Here is a 19533-nt window from a genome sequence, read left to right on the forward strand (position 1 = left end):
TACTCACTTTCCTTTGGCCTATAAAATGCACTCCCCCATACTTCCAGAGTACAGAAATAGCCAAGTTACAGCCTTTCCCCTGGGGGCAGGATACCTGCCTTTTAAATGCATTCCTTGGTGCCTGGTTGAGTGGGACCTAAGCACTCCTGCCTTCCTCTCCTTCTAACTAAAAGGGGAAAACCAACCTAGGAGAAACCTTTGCCGTACTGTGTCTCAGAGAAAAGACATGACAAGTTGTGTGGCATGGAAGAGCCTGAATGCTACTCTTAATAGAATCTGTTGCTTTGCTTAGTATAAAACTATAGGTTCATGTTTTAGGGCATTGTTAAGAGATGGTCAAAATTTATCATTATATTTAACTTATATAGATAACTTTGGTATGAAATCACCTGGAACGTTCTAAGTCTTTAGTAAAGGTTAGCAGCTATCAAATGGTGCTATTTTGCTCTCACAGTGCTTACTCTCTGCAAATTCTGAGTTGCATTTGAAAAATTTACAAAAACTGCTGTTTAGGTTGAATGAAGTTATTAAGCTTTTATTTTTGTCTGGCACTACTGCTGTCTGATTCAACTGCCTCAGGGTGAGTCCTTGGGGCTTGGGATTTACTTGACCAGCATCCCTACACTTCCAGTGCATTTCTAAGATATCCTTAATAAGCCAGGATTAGGCAGTACCTTTATTGTGTTATCTATTTAAAGGAGAAAGAATGAAAGTGTTTTGATGTTGACAGTTTCATACAGAGTCTGCTTCTACCATCTTGATAAACAATAAAACAACAAAACAAAGCTGAGCCTTGAATGGATCTTCCTGAACAGCTCTAGAGAGAATTGTGTATACTAGCTTAAATTAAAATGCCAGCATGGAAGAAAGGTTGTGCATTTTCTCTTAATGAGAACACATGGATAGCCTGAAAGTTCCTGTTATGACTTTATGTTTTCCATCATACTTGTAAGAACCTAGGTTGCAGAGATAAAATGGACCACTTTTAATCTTGCTCTCTAGTTACAACTAGCCACTATCTTGATCCTATTTATTCCCCAGTCATTATATCTCTCAAATCTGCCCCTCCACCCACTTCCTCCACTGCAGGCAAGACTATTCCAATATCAGGTCACTTTCCAAGAATCCATTTTGTATTTGGCATTCCCTTACAGAAAGCCAGATACAGGTCTAGCCACCCTGACAACTATCTGGAGCACCAATCTATGAGGGTCTGCTAAAACATCAAAAAATAAATAGAATACATAGTGCTAGCTGGTTCTGTTCACCATATACACCCCCTGCCTTAAGTGTTGAACATCCATGTCAACATGGGCCTTTGGGTGGAGAGTCATAGTCCACTAAGATGGCACAACTTTGGTGACAGAATAAAAAGCAAAATTTCAATAATCACATTATTACCTGGCCCAGAATACTTCCATATTTTAAGTGGCTCAGCCCTGACTGAAATCAACCAAAAGTCAGTGACTTTTAGTTGTTTATTGAAAATAATTGAAGAATCCTCATTTTGCATTCAAACCCACCTTCACTTTGACTATAATGTCTTATCACAACACCTCCTGACATCAATTTTCTATATCCAAAGAATCTTCTTTACACACTTCCTTGATATTTGAGTTCTGATCCTTGCTCCTCATAATGCATCCCTTTCTCTGAACTCTAATTCATAGTATTCAGCCAGTTGGTATACCAACAAGCCCCCAGATCCTTTATGTGCTAGTTTCTACCTGTCTGAGCTCACATTCTAGACCCTTTGACCGTGTTTGATCATTTGGATGAAGCAGTCACAAGCTGATAGCCAAGTCTGGCAAGGCAATTCTATATATTTGATTCACAGTGTTATAAGTCTATGTGCTTAATTTGAGTCAAGATTTACAAATCAGCAGATTTAATGTTAAAAAATAAAGTCTGAATTCCTGCCTTCTCTTAACAAACTGAGATATTTGGTAACACTGGGATCATATTCTTCCATGGCAACAGTTCTCCAGGGTCACCTTTAGAGATTGACTTGTATTTTTTCAGTTCTATACAGTACTACTACATTACTTCACTCATTCTCTTACCTCCTCAACTTTTGTCAGCATTTTAGTAAAATATCTGGTAGGAAAAAGGTTGCCTATTTGCTCCGCCTTTCAAATATTGCTTTGTCATTCAAGAATCAACACTTAGATTGTGCATTTGGACTTCTCCCCTCTCTGCCCCTCTGCCTGGTCCATGAACCAGCAGCGTCAGCATAATCTGGGCACTTGTGAGAAATGTAGGACATCAAGCCCTTCCCCAGACACACTGAATCAATCAGCATTTTCAGGCTCACAAGGTGATCCTTATCTAGGTTAAAGTTTGAGAAGCACTGGGCTACATCCTTTTCCAGACCTTCCCTTTCATCTTTAAATCTGGTTCCATACACTTGCTTCCAAGTAGTTTCCTTTTGCCTAAGCTGAATCCCTGGATTCATAACCCATTTGTAAAACTTGTCTACCTTTTGATTTGCAGTTCAAATTTATGTCTCATCATGGAGTTTACCTTGAACACACATGTGCATTTTGTATTTTTTCCTAGGAGTCCCAGTGGATTATAATTTCAGCTAGCTAAGGCACCATATCTGCATGTCTTTGATAGCTGCCTTCCCAGAATTTGTGAAAATTGCCCCCTTTTTTCACATCTGAAGAAAACCAAAGGTCTGGAAAAGGAGGAAGACAGAGTTATTCCCCTCTGAATGCTATTTTTTTATCCTTATTTTTTTAATTGACATGTAAAATTGTATGTACTGTATTTATCATGTACAACATGGTGCTTTGAAGTATCTATGCATAGTGGAATGACTAAGTCTAGCTAATTAATATGTGCATTACCTCACATCATTATTATCTTTGTGCTGAGAACACTTTATATCCACTCTTTTTAGCATTTTTCAAGAGTACATAATGTTATTAACTACAGTCACCATGTTGTACAATAAATCTCTCAAGCTTATTCTTTCTATCTTTTGACTAACATCTCTTTAACCCTGACACCTGATCTCCCCAGACCCTGGAAACCACAAGTTCACTCTCCACTTCTATGAGATCAACTTTTTTAGATTCCACATGACTGACATCACATGCTATTTGTCTTCCTGTCCCTGGCTTATTTCATTTAACATATATCCTTCAGGTTCATACATGTTGTAACAAATGACAGGATTTTCTTCATTTTATGGCTGAATAGTATTTCATTCTGTCTCTGTCTCTCTCTCTCCATGTGTGTGTTTGTGTGCAAGTGCATGTGTGAGTGTGTGTGTGTGTGTATACATACCATATTTTCTTTATCCATTCATCTGTTGATGAACACTTAGGTTGATTCCATATCTTGGCTATTGTGACTAGTGCAGCAATAAACATGGGAGTGCAGATATCTCCTCAACATACTGATTTCATTTCCTTTGGGTATATATCCAGTAATGACATTGCTGGATCATACAGTAGTTCTATTTTTAATTTTTTGAGGGAATGCTGTGTTATTTTTCATAATGGCTGTACTAAGTTACATTTCTGCAAACAGTGTTCACATCCTGGCCAACACTTGTTATAATAGCCATTCTAACAAAGGTGAGATAATATCTCACTGTGGCTTTAGTTTGTATTTCCCAGAAGAGTGATGTCGAGCATTTTTTCATGTACCTGTTTGCCATATGTATGCCTTCTTTTGAAAAGTCTATTCAAAATTTTTTGCTTATTTTTCAATTGGGTTATTTGCTTTCTTGCTATTGAGTTGTTTGAATTCCTTATGTATTTTTGATATTAATCTCTTATCAGATGAATAGTTTGCAAATATTTTATCCTATTCTATAGGTTGTCTTTTCACTTTTGATTTTGTTTGCAGTGAAGAAGTTTTATTAGTATAATGTAATCCCATTTGTCTATTTTTGCTTTTGTTGCTGTGCTTTTGAGGTCATATCCAAAAAACTCATTGTCTAGGTCAATGTCATGGAGCTATTCCCCTGTTTTGTATTCTAGTAGTTTCATAGTTTTTGGTCTTACATTTAATTAATTAATTCATTTTGAGTTGATTTTTGCATATAGTGAGATATATGGGTCTGATTTCATTCTTCTGCAGGTGGATATTTAGTTTCACTAACACCATTTATTGAAGAGATTCTCCTTTTCCCATTGTGTGTTCTTGGCACCTTTGCTGAAAATCAGTTGGCTGTAAATGTAGAGAATTATTTCTGGCTTCTCTATGGTTTAATTGGTCCACATGTCTGTTTTTATGCCACTGCCATGCTGTTTTGGTTCCTATAGCTTTGTAGTATATTTTGAAATCAGGTAGTGTGATGCCCCCCAGCTTTGTTCTTTTTGTTCAAGATTGCTCTAACTATTTGGGGTCTTTTGTTTCAATACAAATTTTAGGATCGTTTGAGAGCTCTTTAATGGGTAGGGTAGCCATCTGCCCCAGTTTTCTCAGGACAGTGTTATTGTAGAGTTTCCTTTCTCATTAGTATTTCCTTTCATTTTCAAAAGCGTCCCTCTTTGGCTGATAAATTAAACAAGCATCCTATTGATGGGTTCATCCCAGGAATGCTTCCTTCCTCTAATTCCTTTTCTCTATTGTGTGATTTTTCTTGGTCGTGCTTGGGTATGTGAAAGAATGCAGGAAAGCATTCTTTCCCTTCAAAGTCCTTAGGCATTAAATAGCAGAAGGTTAATTCAAACACAACACCAAGTATTTTCTTTTAAAACTATCCTATTAAAGTATATAGGGTTATTTTTTACTTTAAAATCAAAGATCTGTGAATAATCTTGCTAAGAAGAAGAAAAGTATAAGAGATAGAAAAAAAAACAACCATTTTCTTCTTTTGTGTTATTCACATCTATTCACACATGCACACAAAGAATACGAGGGTGAGTAACTTTTGGTGGACAAGTTCTTCTGATGAAGAAGAAAACTACTCAGAGGTTGTGGAACTGTGTTGCAACTAAAAAGAGATCCTAGATATTTGATTTTAGGACTGGCTTTGAGGTAGAACATAAAGTAGCTTCATTTTGTCACTAGAAACTCATAGAGTGACCAATTGTTTCAAGCTATATTATCTTTGTCTCCTGTAAATTTCTTCCAAATTTGTCTCTTTCCTCTTTTTCTTCACCTTAACAGACCTCCTACTCCTAAGAAATAAAACCACCACAAATTGTTTACCACCATTACACACAATCACTACTACTACTACCTCCTCAAGAGAACGATGGTAAAACAGCAATAAAAGAAGACCAGTTGTCAATTAAGAGTATGAGTGAATCCTTCCTCCCCCACAACCTACCCCCAAGTCTGCTGGAAGTTGCTGATACATCCGATATCGTTATTACAACTTACTCTGCAACCGTAACAAGTAAACGTTTTAATCACATTTTGTTCTGAAGTATTTTAGTATTATGAATTCTTAAACTGAATGATAGCAACAAAAATAATGTGTACTTTTATCTTGTTTATTTATCATGAAGGACATAACTGTAAAGATTTACAGTTATGACTACCACTGACCTTACAATTTTTTTTTTTTTAAATCATGATTCCTTCTCAAAATAAAGAAAGAGAAAAGAGGGGAAAAAAAAAAGTCCAGAGGACTTCCTCAAAAATACTACTTTTCTACTTAAAAATCTCTGTACGTGTTACGACTCCCAAAAGTTACATCAAGAAGTTCAGCAAACAAGTCACACCTAGCCAGACAGAGGCAATTGTGTGGAAACCAGGTGAAATTCCATTAGATCATAGGCAATGTCATGTCGCTTAACCCTGGATACCTGCTCTGTATGTATACACTGCACCTCTTTGGCTCATTCATGGCAGCTCCGTCTTTCCTATTATAAGATTTCCTCACACTACCAGAGACATGAAGTTATTATAGTATGGGCAGTTCCTCGTCCCTTAAATTAAAAAATATATATATTAGAAGCTTTTTAGCAGTGTATTCTTTAGAAGCATTTTCAAAATTATAAAATATTTAGAACATAGTAAAAATATACAACAAACATATTTGTACACCTTATCATATTTAACAAATGTTGACACTTTGCCACATTTGCTTAAATTATTTTTAAACAAATAAAACATTCCATATTCTGTTAAAGACTGATGTTAAGGACCACTCCCTCATTTCCTTCTCCTCCACCATTCCCAAAGTTAACTACTGTCTAGAATGTGGTTTGTATCCTTTCCATTCATGTTTTTGTGATTATACTACATGCAGACATTAATACATTAATAACAAGTGGTTTTAAAATTAAATAAGGTTTACTCTATATGTCACTTTGCAACTTGCTTTTTTCACTCAATATTTTATGTACTTCAAATACATTCATGTTGATACATGTAGATTTATTGTTACTTCATTTTAATAGATGTAGTATTTCTTTTTATGAATATTTTACCATTTATTTGTCTGTTTTTCTACTGATGTTTGTTTGGATTTTTTCCCCAATATTTTATTATTATAAGGCTATGGACATCTTTGTACCTATCTCCACATGCATGTCTATGGAAAATAGATTTTCTTAGCTGGTGGAGAAAACTAGCATCAGAACTTCAAACGGGAAGGAGTCCATTGGAACTTTACTAGATATTGCCCATTTGCTATCTGACATGGTTAGGCTTTTTGTCCCCACCCAAATCTCATCTTGAATTGTAATCTCCATGCTACCCAGGTGTCAAGGGAGAAACCAGGTGGAGGTAATTGAATAATGGGCGCAGTTTCCCCCATGCTGTCCTCATAATAGTGAGTGAGTTCTCATGAGATCTGATGGTTTTATAAGGGGCTCTTCCCCCTTAATTTGGCACTTCTCCTTCCTGCTGCCTTGTGAAGAAGTTGCCTCACTTCCCCTTCCACCATTATTGTAAGTTTCTTGAGGCCTCCCAGTCACGCTGAGTCAATTAAACCTCATTCCTTTATAAATTACCCAGTCTCGGGCAGTTCTTTATAGCACTATGAAAATCGACTAAGAAGCTGAGATGGTCATACTAGTTTATATTAACACCAACAATGTTCAGAAATTCCATTTCACCATCCTTGGTATATGGGATTAATTTATTCATTTGACAGTCTGATGGTATGAAAAAATCTTCTTATTTAATTTCCATGTTCTTGAATACCAGTGGAGTATTTTCACAGTTATTGAACATAATTGTTTCTCTTCTGTAAATTATATATTTATAGTTCTTTTTCATTTTTCTGTTGGGTTATTTTTTCTTTTATCTCATGGATTTGTGGAGTTATTTTTAGATTCTTAATATTATTTCTCTATAAACTATGTATTTGTAAACATTTTTCTTAGTCTCTGGCTTGTCTATGAAATTAGCTTTATTGTATTTTTAATTGACAGGAGGATTTTAATTTTAATGCAGTGATTTTAAACACTTTTCTGTTGTCTCATGTTTTTACCATATTTTATAAGAAAATCTTTCGGCCGGGTGCGGTGGCTCACGCCTGTAATCCCAGCACTTTGGGAGGCCGAGGCGGGCGGATCACGAGGTCAGGAGATCGAGACCATCCCGGCTAAAACGGTGAAACCCCGTCTCTACTAAAAATACAAAAAATTAGCCGGGTGTAGTGGCGGGCGCCTGTAGTCCCAGCTACTTGGGAGGCTGAGGCAGGAGAATGGCGTGAACCCGGGAGGCGGAGCTTGCAGTGAGCCGAGATCCCGCCACTGCACTCCAGCCTGGGCGACAGAGCGAGACTCCGTCTCAAAAAAAAAAAAAAAAAAGAAAGAAAATCTTTCTACATTATATATTTCCATATTTTTTCTAAGATTAAAATTTTTTCAAGTGTAGAGCTTTAATATTTTTGTATAGGAATCTAACACTTTTTTTTTCTCAAAATGAATAGCCAAAGTGCCATGCTTTTTAAATTGAATGAGCTCATTTTTGCCTAGTAATTCATGTTGCTACATATTTTCTATGCTGAAGTTCTCAAATGCAGACACATAAGCTTCTGGTCTCTTTATTTTGTCCTCTCCCTCTCCCACTGCTGCCTTCTAAAAATAAGTTCTTACAGAATTATGCTCTTTTAACATTTCTAACCTTTCAATAAGGTTTACAATCTGTATGACAACTCCTTCATCTTATATGTTTTTCAAATTGCCTTAATAGTGTTAGATTTTCATTCTTTCTTTTGAATTTTAAAATTACTATCTCAAGTTATAAAAATTTTATTCAGATTTTCATTCAAATTACACAGAATCTATGAAGTAAGATATAGCTTTAAGTATTTCTATCTATGAACTTCTCTATTCTTTTAGGTGTCTATTAAATTTCTTCTATAATGTTTTGTAGATTTCTCCAGAAAGGTCTATTATATATTTATTAGATGTTTTCATTATTATTGAAATGAAAAATTTATCTAATTACAATCCTTTTGGAGATTTTTTTCTTCTCTATTTGGAAGCTTTAAAAAATTCACCTTATTTTTAATCTGAAGTCTCATTCCTGATGTGCCTAAATATGGACTAATATCTAATTAAGTTGTTTGTACTTACAAATGCATTTGAGAGCTCATCTTTTTTAAAAAAATTCTGGAGAATTCAGTAATTATTACTTTGAATATGACTTCTTTTCTAGTCTTTCATTTTCGGTAATGTCTTTTATACATATGTTGGGGCTCTGAATTCATTCTCCAAATGATTCTCTCACTTAAAGATATCCTTTTATATTCTATTTGATATTTTAGGTAAATTCCTAGTATTCTTTCTCAGTTCACTGAATATATCTTCAAGGATACTCAGTTTAAAGTTTATTTCATCTTGTAGTATACTATAAGAGACATACCCTGGTTATAAGATTAATGATAGCCATAAGGCTTATTCAGGCATCTTGCTGATACTACATGTCACGTAGCAGTATGTCACAGAGTAGGGTTGACACTAAGTGTCACTTAGCAATGTGATGCAGACTGGCTTGGGGATTTCCAACCTTGGCCTGGGGATTTCCAGGAGACAAGGCTACCTCAGATGCAACTTTCATAAACAAAAAAGGCTTACTCTTTCCAGAATTGTTTAAACTCCCTTTATGAGAGAAATGGCTGGTAACTCACCTGGGCTGAGTACAAGCATAAGTAAGGGGGAAGGGTCCTTTAAATTCTGAGACTGGTCACTGGACGGAGGCCCTCCTGGTCAGTCAGTCATCTGACTGCATCTGGCCCATGCCACTGGCCTGCTCTTCATCTTCATCTTGGAAAAGTCAGAATAAGCTGTTGAGCATTAGAATAAGCTGTCTAAGACTCATATTTGACATTAACCAAATGAAAAAGGAGAAGCTGTTGAGAATAAGCTGTTGAGCATTAGAGTGTCTAAGACTCATCTTTGACATGAATCAAATGAAAAAGGAGAAGTTGCCCCTGGGGAAGCTGGTTAACTAGGACCACCCAGGAGCCTCAAACATGACACATCTATTGAGGATTTTGTTTGTTTTTTTAATCTCAGTGACAAAATTCCAGGATATCTAACTAGTTTTATTTTATACTTTCCTGCTCTTGCTTTATATTTTGAAAAATAATTTGTTTCTCTTTTTTTGTTTTTTTCCTTTCCTAACTTGTTGATTTCCCTATTATTTTCATTTCTTCTGAGCGGATTTTGTCAGTCTTTCTTTAGTGTCTTATTGTATTTTGAAATTTTATTTTCAAATTTATTCTGAGTGGTAGCTTTATTCTTGTGTTTTCTTCTTCTGCACTCCTTGTTTCTCATCTAGCACTTTTACAGTTGCTTCCAGCCAGTTCCTAGTTCCTGGTTCAGATGGGTCTTATCTTGACACCCTAGAGTTCTTTTCTTGCCAGCATAACATGGATCCAGTCATCTAGCTGAGTTGGGTAGTATGGGTGAGGTCTTGGCTGGGGAGCTGGGCAGTGTTTGCTTCCTGTGAGCCATCATAGCCAGCGATCAATCCAGCTCTTTCTGTCCTTCACAGGTTTGAGAAAACCATTTTCCAGCCCTTAGTTTCTGGCATTTAACCTGACTCTGGTCCCTGAATGGCATGGGAGTGCTTTCAACCACAGGTTTCCACATTCATGCCACTTGTTTGCTTTTCTGACTCATTCTGATCTACAGAGATCTTTATTTGCTTTGTGTTTCCAATGGAGAAAGAGCTTGGGAAGGGAGGATCCTAATTGTCTAAAACCTCATCTAGACTGTTGATCATAGACTTTATATATAGAAAAACTTATTTAAGATGTGAAAATATTTGCCAAGTAGACAGATAAACCTGTTTTCTGACTTACTATAGGATGGGCAAGTAATACTCATGAATGCTTATAATGTGCCAGATAACAACACTTGGCACTCCACATGACATTTTATTTAACCCTCGCCAAGATTCTTTGGGGTAGATATTGTAATTCCATGCTGAACTAAGGTTCAACGATCACACTGCTAGCGTGTGGTAGAGTTGAGATTTGTCCATGTATAAACTCTATCAGAGTATATATTTTTAAAATTTACTACCCTGTTCCCAACATTTAAAGCAGTACTTGGCATAGAGTATACGGTCAGTAACATATTTGAGTGAGTAAGGTTCTTCTTTCTGTTCTTTCTAATATTGTTTGTATTTATATATCTTATAAAACACTAAATCTTTATCTTAGGCATAAGGTTCCTTAGCATAGAAACTTCTTTCTCTTTGCCTTGTTCCCTTTTCTCTGTTCTCTCCTCCTTGCCTGGAACTGGATATTTTGACTCCTGCCCCAGTGGGTGAATGTGTTTACAATTTTCCTGCAGCCCTCATCTCTCTTGCTAATAAACAGCACTGGAACTAAAATGTCCACCTGCATAGGTGAATTCCTCCATCACAGACATTCCCACTTACCCAGCCCCCAGTTAAAAATATCATAGTCATATCTTGTCTTAACCACCTCAAGTGCACAGCTAGGGCACTTGCTGAAGGGGTGAAAAAGGCAAAGAAAGCTATGACTAGGCAATTTGGATAATGACTTTTTCCTCCTTACAAAGTTCTGACTGTCAAGTTATCTTACAAAATGTGGCTGATTACATTTAAAAATCACCTTGGTTCTCTTTTAAATTATAGCCCCACATGGAATTAGAATATAAGTTTGGCTTTAAAATATAGTTTTTTCATCTCTTCTGCTTTTTTAAATGACATACTGACTGATATTAGGGAGTAATTTGGCTGATGAATTAGTACGTATGTGGGTATGATCTCTTCTCAGCACAGCGTGAGAAAAGCAGAGCCAATCACAGACCTCAATCACTACAATTGATTTTCTAAAGAGAACACAAAGCAATTAAAAAAGGAGAAAAATCATGCATTCTAAATCTCTGTGCTACAAGAAAAACATCATTATTATTTGACAGAGCCTGTGAAGGGCTTTGTATGGTTCTTGGTATTCCTACCCCTACTGCAGCAGTGATTTCTTAAGACTCAATTTATATTAATTGCAAAGTTTAAAGTGCTTTAAAATATCCTCATTTTGGAAGATGGATAGTAAAAATAAGTTCAACTACAAAGTCAAGGAGAAATAACTAGATGTTTTTTCTTTTCTTTTTTTTTAAGTTTTTAGCCAAAATGGATAGTAGAGAAAAGCAATTGATGGCCCACTAAACCAGTTATTGGGAAATTTTTAGTTCCTCCTTTTCACTCAACCTCCACACCTAACCAGCACCTGAGATGCATTGTTTTCATACTCTGTACACAGTGGAACTGGAAAAAGGTACAGAAATAATCAGTTCTCCAACCTGACTACACATTTGGTTATGATCAAAATGCAATCCATGAACTACCTGCTCCAGAATCACCTGGGGAGTTTGTTCAACGTGCAGCATCCTACACTTCACATTAAGAGTTTATGATTTTACACAAGTATCTCAGGTGAATCTGGGGAAGCTTATCCATAGACAACATTTGGAACTTTTTAAAAAGAGCCTTGCTCATTTTATAAATAAAAAAAAAAATCAGCCAAGGGTAGCATGTCTGAGTCACTTGGGGAATGTTTCAGAATATGCTATGTTAATCAGGACAGGATAAGCTATGCTGTGGCAAAAGTTCCAAAATCTCAGCAGTCTAAAACAGCCAATTATTTCTTACTTATACTATTTGTCCATCATGGGTAGAGGTTACTACGTGATCCAGGCTGAGAGAGGCATCACCTCAACCTGTGCTTTCGTGATTGCAAATGCAGGAACAATGACATAAGGCAATCTGAGCACAGCTTTTAAAGATCTGATATAAATATCATTAAATAAGCAATGACATCATGAGCTTGGAAGTCAGACAGATTTGTGTTTAAGTCCTCTTGCTCCCTTTGTGGACTGTGTGACTTTGATCACATTTCTTGACCTCTCTGAGTTTCTGTTCTGTAAAATTGGGATGATATTGACTATTTCTAATTGTCGCTATGAGGCTCACAGTGGGCATTCACATTTACTATTGTTACCAAACAAGGTATAAAACATATTATGGGAGGAAGAAAGAGCTTTGTGAAAGGGACAGCCTCTGGTTACACCTACATTCTTCTTGTTCTGTCCTTTCATCATTATTTTCACTCTATTGAAGTTCCCCTCTTTCATCAACCTCTTTCTCCTGCATTCTCTCCTTCCTATCAGGTCCAAAGCCTTACATCCTTCTGCCACGCTAGATCATCCTTCACTCAACACAGTTATTAACTATCTACTATGTGACAGGCACTGGGTTTGGTGCTGGAGGAGACAGAAATTTAAACACTATGCTCCATGTTCTTGAGATATTTACAGTCTGGAGGGAGACACAAAGATAAAGCAAAACGGAAGACATACTGTAATAGAGGCCAATGTATCCATGATGCAATGAGAGCATCGAGGATGATCCTTAGTTTACATCACAGCCTGAGCCTTCCTTCCCAAGAAGGGTGAGGTAAGAGGAGATGGCATTCTAGGAGGAGGATATAGCGTGTGAGAAGGCAGAGAGACAAGAATAATCACAGGCATTCTAGAAACTGCAAATAGTGAAGTATTGTTAAAGAGGAAAATGCAAATGTGGGAGATAGATACTGGGGACTGTGTGGTGGAGGCTTTTAGGACAAATAAATGAAAAGTCAGAAATATCCATCAGCAAAACCATCTTTTGTTTAGATATTTTTCCATTATAGGCAAAAAGGAACCATTGAAAAATTTTGATTTTTCACAATTGGACTGAGTTGGCATTTAAAAAATAGTACTCTGGCCAGAGACTGTAGGGGAAAGTGTGTAAAAAACAAACAGTCTATGAAAGAAAGAGAAAGACAGCTTCAAGGAAAGCAGTGCCAGCAGGAAAGGAAAGAGAGGAGAAGATGAGGTTGAGAGGGGAGATTTAGGAGGATTTAGATTAAGGAGATGCAACACCGTATTAGTGATGGGGGCTTGTGGATATTTGAAGCATCTGAGATGACATACAGCTTTCAAACCTGTGAATGGAGAGAAGGGTAGTGGCATTCTCTGACATAAAGAAAACAGAAGGAGCAGCAGGTTTTGGGCAAGTGGGACTGCATGCGGTTAGGGGAACAGAGGAGCTGGAAGATGATGAATCCTTAGTGGTTTATCCACTTTTTAATTACGCCTTCATAGCACAGATGATTTCTTTAAATTATTCGGCATGTGTTTAGGTACAACCTACTTTTGCCATTAATATTTGTCATACTATATAATGACTTTCCAGCAATTCTGCAAGCTACATAAAGACAGAAACATTAATTTAAACTTCTGCTTATATCACACAATTCATCTGGCACAACACTTTGGGCTGGGAAAGTTCTTGTAAAATATTTGTGAAATAAAAATATATTACCAAAATTGGATTTTCTGGTTTTGTCGAACTACCACATTGCTATTAGCATTATTTCTATTTTTTTCCTTGTTCTTCATCATTTCTGCATTCTTTGGTGTCCAAAATATTCACTTACTTGGACTTTATAGCATTTTCTTCTTTATCTTAAATCCCTACAATATTTTTATGCCAACATTTAAAACAGTATCAATTATTTCCATTAATATATTTAATTATTTTATTTGGCTCTTTAAAACTTATCTGTTTTCTTGGAATTTCTCTCCTCCCTCTTCTTTCACTTATAGTCTTTTTAAATTATCTCCTACTCATTTTCATTTTCTTTGACCAACTTCTCGACCTACCACTTCCTCCTTCTAGGGGATACTTCACTTTTTAAAGTTTATATTTCCTTACAATCATTATATTTCTCCCATCTGTTTATTTTATTTTTATATCTAGCACCATAAGTCTCTCATCATGTATCATTTTATTTATTATTATTTCTATTCTCACTTTGAAAGTCATCATGATTCAAGTGACTATATCGTGAGTTTCAAAGTTAGAATATAAAATATTTTCTAGAGAAATCCAAAATATTTTCTGAAGAAAGAATTAAAATTTGGTATCGGTTTTACAACCCATCAACTAAGAAATGCTGCTCAGTATATGTGTGGTTGTTTCCTTGTCTCCTGATCTTAAAAAGGGGTCCTGATTAATAAGTAAGCTAGATAGAATAGGTATACCTGGAAGAATTGCACTCTACAAATATAATATATTGTTGTTTGATTTTCCCCTCTTACTTCTAACAAATCTGGCCTTTTTGTTTCATGAATAAAAATACAAAGAAAATCCAATAACTGGAAAAATAAGTAAGGAAATAGTATTGACTGCTGAAAAGAGTAAAAATTAACAAAATAGCCTAAAAAGAACAAAGTTGCACATAGAATATTACTGAAACTATGTCAGTATATACTAGGCCAGTTTTACCAAGATTTTAACTGGAAATATTTAAAGAAATTTCTCTCCAAAATGAGAAAAACTCAGTGTGATTATTTCATTCAAATAAAAAGCAGTTACACTCCAGACTTGTTTACTGATCATTAACTACTAATTGGGTAAGGACTGAGATTACCATTATGTTTAAGAGACAGAAAGAATTTCTGATGCTCAGTGTAAATCAATAAGAAAATGGAATTGCATTAGCGAAGTGAGATTCACAGCAATGTACTAGGAATATATTTATTATGACCACGGAAGCTATAAAGACACAGATACTCAGTTGTGATTAACATCATTGGCTCTAGAGTCAGACAGAAGTTGGTTGGAAAAATCTGTGTAGCCAGATTTTTGCAAGCTGCTTACCTGTTTTTGTCTCTATTTCCAATTCGGACGCAAGTATGGAGAAAAGGGGCACCATATCCTGACAAGCTGACTGACCAGCTTAAAAAACTGGGGCTCTGGGACACCCAGCAAATGACATCCTTATAGCTTCAGTTCTCATAAGCCTATCTTCAGTGGTTAGAATCACTGCAACTTTCTACCTTAATGACATTGCGTACCATAAGGTCAATTGAGGAAATGGTTAAAACAGAACTCTTCTGTTTGGCCTGTCTAAAGCATTTTCATGAACAGAAATGCCTGTGTTGTTGACAAATGATGAACAAGCCATGAAAGAGTAAGTCTTCAAAAATATACAAAAGACTAAAACAAAATCACTTTTAAAGCATGAATTCTGAGTTCTGACAGGATCCAAGCTCAAATTTACTTTCTAGAGCATGTAGATGGCCTTTGGTGAGTTACATGTCTCTGAGCATCAATTCCCTCAAATGTAAAACGAGAAGCACATTTGTACTTGTTTATTCGTTTGTGATGGAGGTTAAATAAGATAATTTGGGGAAAGCAGTTGGCAGAATGCCTGAAACAGAAGAGTACTCTGCAAATCAGTCTATTCTCCGTCCCTGTTAATAGTACATTGAAAAACCAGTTAGGGTCTTTCTTCATTCATGGCACTTTTTTCACTTTAGATGGAATTAAGACATAAGTTAAGGCCAGTCTATTGAACAACTCAATAACAAGCAGGAAAATGAAGGAAAGAAATCAGTCAATAATTCATTGTTTGTTGGCTCTACATCCTGTAGATTATAGCCCCACATGGAATTATTTTTTATAATTGTGGTTTTGAAAGAGAAACTTGGATTTTTGTTTCCATTGAATGTTTTAATTAATCTAATATTGTGTCTTTAGAAGCATAGACTTCTTCAGTTTGGTAACCTAAAAGTTAACAGTAAATTGACTTGCATTTATGTTAAAGTAAACTTCTCCTTAAATTTTATACCCTCCAAAGGCCTACATTCTTTAAAAAAATAATTTGCTTTCATTGTAAGCAAGTTAAAATAATAGTCTTTCAGTTTAATTAGCAGTTTATTGAATGATTAAATATATGTTTAAAGTGGCCAAAAAATAATATCATGTTATTATACTAGGAATAAATCCTCCATTAACATTAATTGAGTTTTAACAAATGAGTTGATTAGGAGGAAAGGAAAGAGGAACCAGCTCACCAGATGCAACTTGGTGCCAGACACCTGGTTCCTGCATGGACCTAATGTTCTTTTGTCATAGCACCTTGGAAAAAATAATCAGTGGCTGCATTTCTTAAAAATAATACACTTCCCAGTGAATGAATCATGTACTAAAATGATTGCTTTTGATTTATTTACTCATTTTGTTTTTCAAAGAGTTTATATTCATTTCTCAGAAAATTATGGAGGATAATCAAATTGTCATGCATTTATATGTAAAAAGAGCAGCACAGATGATATGTGGTAATGACCTAAATTTGTCTTGACTAGTTTAATTTCCTACTTTCTCTGCCATAAGTAAGAATGTATGCTGAGACTAACTCAAAAATATTAAAATATAGCAGGGCTCCAGGTATGAAGCAGGATATGGTCATGATAGGATTCAGCCAAATCTAGAGGACTCATGGGACCAGGAGAGTTGCAAAGTGAAGATCATAATGTGTCTTAGATGAAGTTCTTGGCAAGGAGATGGGGTGAGAATTCAGAATAGAGCACTATTTCTGTGCTGGAATTTGTCATCTGATGGGGCTGCCAGAGATTCATATAGGAGACCTCACAAGGAGCCGGGGTGGGAGTGGCAGGGTGGGAGGGAAAGGGTTAGTCACACAGAATTTGAAAAACAAAACCAACAAAGCCAAAAACAGCTGACAAGGTCTTTTAGTTATTATTATTATTTACAAATTCTGTACGAATTTGAGGGCTTAGAAATTTGGACCAAAAGGGGTGGGGAGTTTTTCCCTTCCCTCCATGTAGCTCTGTGAGACCTCAGCACAAGGAGAGATAAGCCAAGAATGCTGCAGCTAGAAGATTGCACCTGGTGGGAGACAACCCACAGATGCCACAGCAGGGGCCAGTCCCTTCTCCAGCTTTGCAGGTAGGATAGGCCTTGACAGTGTCCAAAAGGACTTTATTAGCTCACATGAATTCCCTTCAGAGGTCCCAGGATCACTGGCAAAGGCTTCTGGCAGAGGCTGGAGGGACCACCATATTATAGTTAATATGATTCTATTATAACCCAGACTGGTGTAACCTCGATTAGTACTTGTTAGAGGAGAGCATCAGCAGGGTTCTTGCCCATTAAGAGGAGGGACTGTGCATAATGGAGTGCTGGGAATTGCCCCACCTGTGGAGTCAACACACCCAAGGAGACTGGCACTGCACACTTACTGTGTGCCAGGCACTGCTCCAAATAAGTGTTTGAAGAGTGTTTCTTCATTTCATTCTCACAACAAGCCTGCTACTATACACATCTTTCATATGAGAAAACAGAAGCACAGAGACATTAAGTAGCATGCCCAGGTGACACAGTTTGTAAGTGGTAAATCTGGGACCTGAAGCAGAGAATCTGGCTCCAAAGCCTGTCCTCTTACTACCAAGTGACGTTTGTGCCTGGCACAGAGAAGGTGCTCATTAAATGTTTGCTGATTCAAATCATTTTACCAAGAAATTAAACATGCTTGAGCTTATTGTTCTGGACTTAATGCCCTGACTACTCTTAAAAAGCAAACAAAAATGCTTACAAGTACACCACAATGAAACAAAACCTGGAATTATCAGAACATGGTAAATGCTTTATTAGATTTTCTGATTGACCAAGGGAAATTACTCTAAGCTTTCAATGTCTTCTTTTCCTACAAGGGAACTAAATTTCCAGGAAGTTCTGTGACAAAGCCACAGAGCTGAGAAGTAAATTAGTCTGTGCTGGACCTAGGATTTCCCTTGTTCTTCCACCTCTGTCCCCAGCAATTGCTTTGCTGCCTATTCTCAGGGGAAGGCATTGCACTAGCCATGCATGCTCCCTGGAGAATGACAACTTGAACTGCAAAATCTCAAAGGTTGTGCTTCTTTTGTTCTTCCTCTCATCTAGTTGATAGGCAGAGAACAATTCTGATTGAATATTCTATTTAATTATGTTTAATCATACTAAGAATCAACCAATGTTAATTATTAAAAAGGGAGAAAATGGCCAAAACATCATGTACAACCATCCTGACTTTAGGTATGAAGGGTCAACATTCATTCAGCTCTGAGCCAGGCAGTTAAACAGCAAACAGTTTTAATAAAGGACAATTAAATAAGTCAGGAAATCCACCAGTCTGTTCTCCAGGTTCACTCACCTTGGTGTGGAGGACGATGGGCAGAGGTAGTAAAACCAACACAGTGAAAACCACGAAGAGAAATCGGCGATAAACCAGAATGTAACTGAAGAATTTCATTGTCCTGAGCAGGTGGCTTCAATAGTGTCCTCCAAATAAAGCAGATGTTAAATAACCAACTTGGATTAATATTTTTCCAGCCTGTCACCTTCACTCACTGCCCTAGACCGACCAACACAAGTTAAAATTAAATCTCATTTTTTATTGTTTTACTATCACAATTAACATGAAGAGATAGGCCCAAGACTTTTCATGAGAAATCAAAGACCATTTGCTCCTCTGGGTTTTCAAGGAAAAACTGTTCTTTCCCTGCTTTCTTTGATCACATTCACTGAAATACAGACTGGACAAGCCTAGGAGAAGGCAAAACCATGAAGCTGGTTGTTTGTTCACAATGAGGCACTTCCAACCCTTTTGATGTCCTCTGACTTCCAGACTCCCTAACTGGAGTAGTTACCACATTGTCATGGTGCCATGAGTGAGTCTCCACAGGCAGCCTCCATGGCCCTTTCTAAGGAAGTATGTTTTCAGTGTGTAAATTGAAATAGCAACTAATAGTTGGAATTTCAGTGTATGACAGTGAAAGGGAAACTTTTTTGTTTAGAGATGGATTTTTAACGGACTTCTTGGACAATGTATTGCAAGGGTCTTCTACAAAATTTATAGCAAATGTCCCTGTTGGTTAGAAGCAAAGTTTTGTGTATTTCTTGGACCCTATTGTCTCTTTTGATAGAAAACCAAAATAACCATGAAGTGTTATATAAACCCTCTATTTTAAGACCTTTGAAGGCTTGATTTGATACTGTTGTGCTGATACAGACTACATAATTATCAGGGAATCTGCATAAAGATGAGTGATTAGGGACATTCAAGTGGTGTGTGATGTGTGTGTGTGTATGGTTTGTGCACATGAGCACATGGGAAGTTGGAGACTGTTCCAACAGTGATATGGAGGATGTATTTTGAAAATCTTCAGGGATAAGGACCCTGGTTTTTTTCACGTTGTGTTGTAAATTGATGATCCAGTAAACCTCAAGTTAGCAACTACT

At 36.6% G+C, this 19533-nt stretch overlaps 1 protein-coding gene across 9 annotated transcripts in view, besides 1 other annotated feature; it reads right to left on the reverse strand.

The window, feature by feature from the left end:
• The window catches only part of SLC13A1 (solute carrier family 13 member 1), an 86441-nt gene extending 67872 nt beyond the window's left edge, over positions 1–18569 (reverse strand). For 7 of the 9 annotated variants that reach the window (XM_047420754.1, NM_022444.4, XM_011516516.4 and 4 more), the window contains exon 1: positions 18446–18567. In XM_047420754.1, coding sequence (XP_047276710.1) covers positions 18446–18544 — 99 coding nt within the window. In that variant the 5' untranslated portion in view covers positions 18545–18567. 9 annotated transcript variants of the gene reach the window in all.
• Positions 8825–9134: an enhancer, noted in NCBI's record as "active region_26566". NCBI's record gives its function as "activates an Ori minimal core promoter by ATAC-STARR-seq in GM12878 lymphoblastoid cells {active_cell/tissue: GM12878}" and the evidence as "EXISTENCE:reporter gene assay evidence [ECO:0000049][PMID:35858748]".

This window comes from Homo sapiens, chromosome 7 (assembly GCF_000001405.40).
Source record: "Homo sapiens chromosome 7, GRCh38.p14 Primary Assembly".
Lineage (NCBI taxonomy): Eukaryota > Metazoa > Chordata > Mammalia > Primates > Hominidae > Homo > Homo sapiens.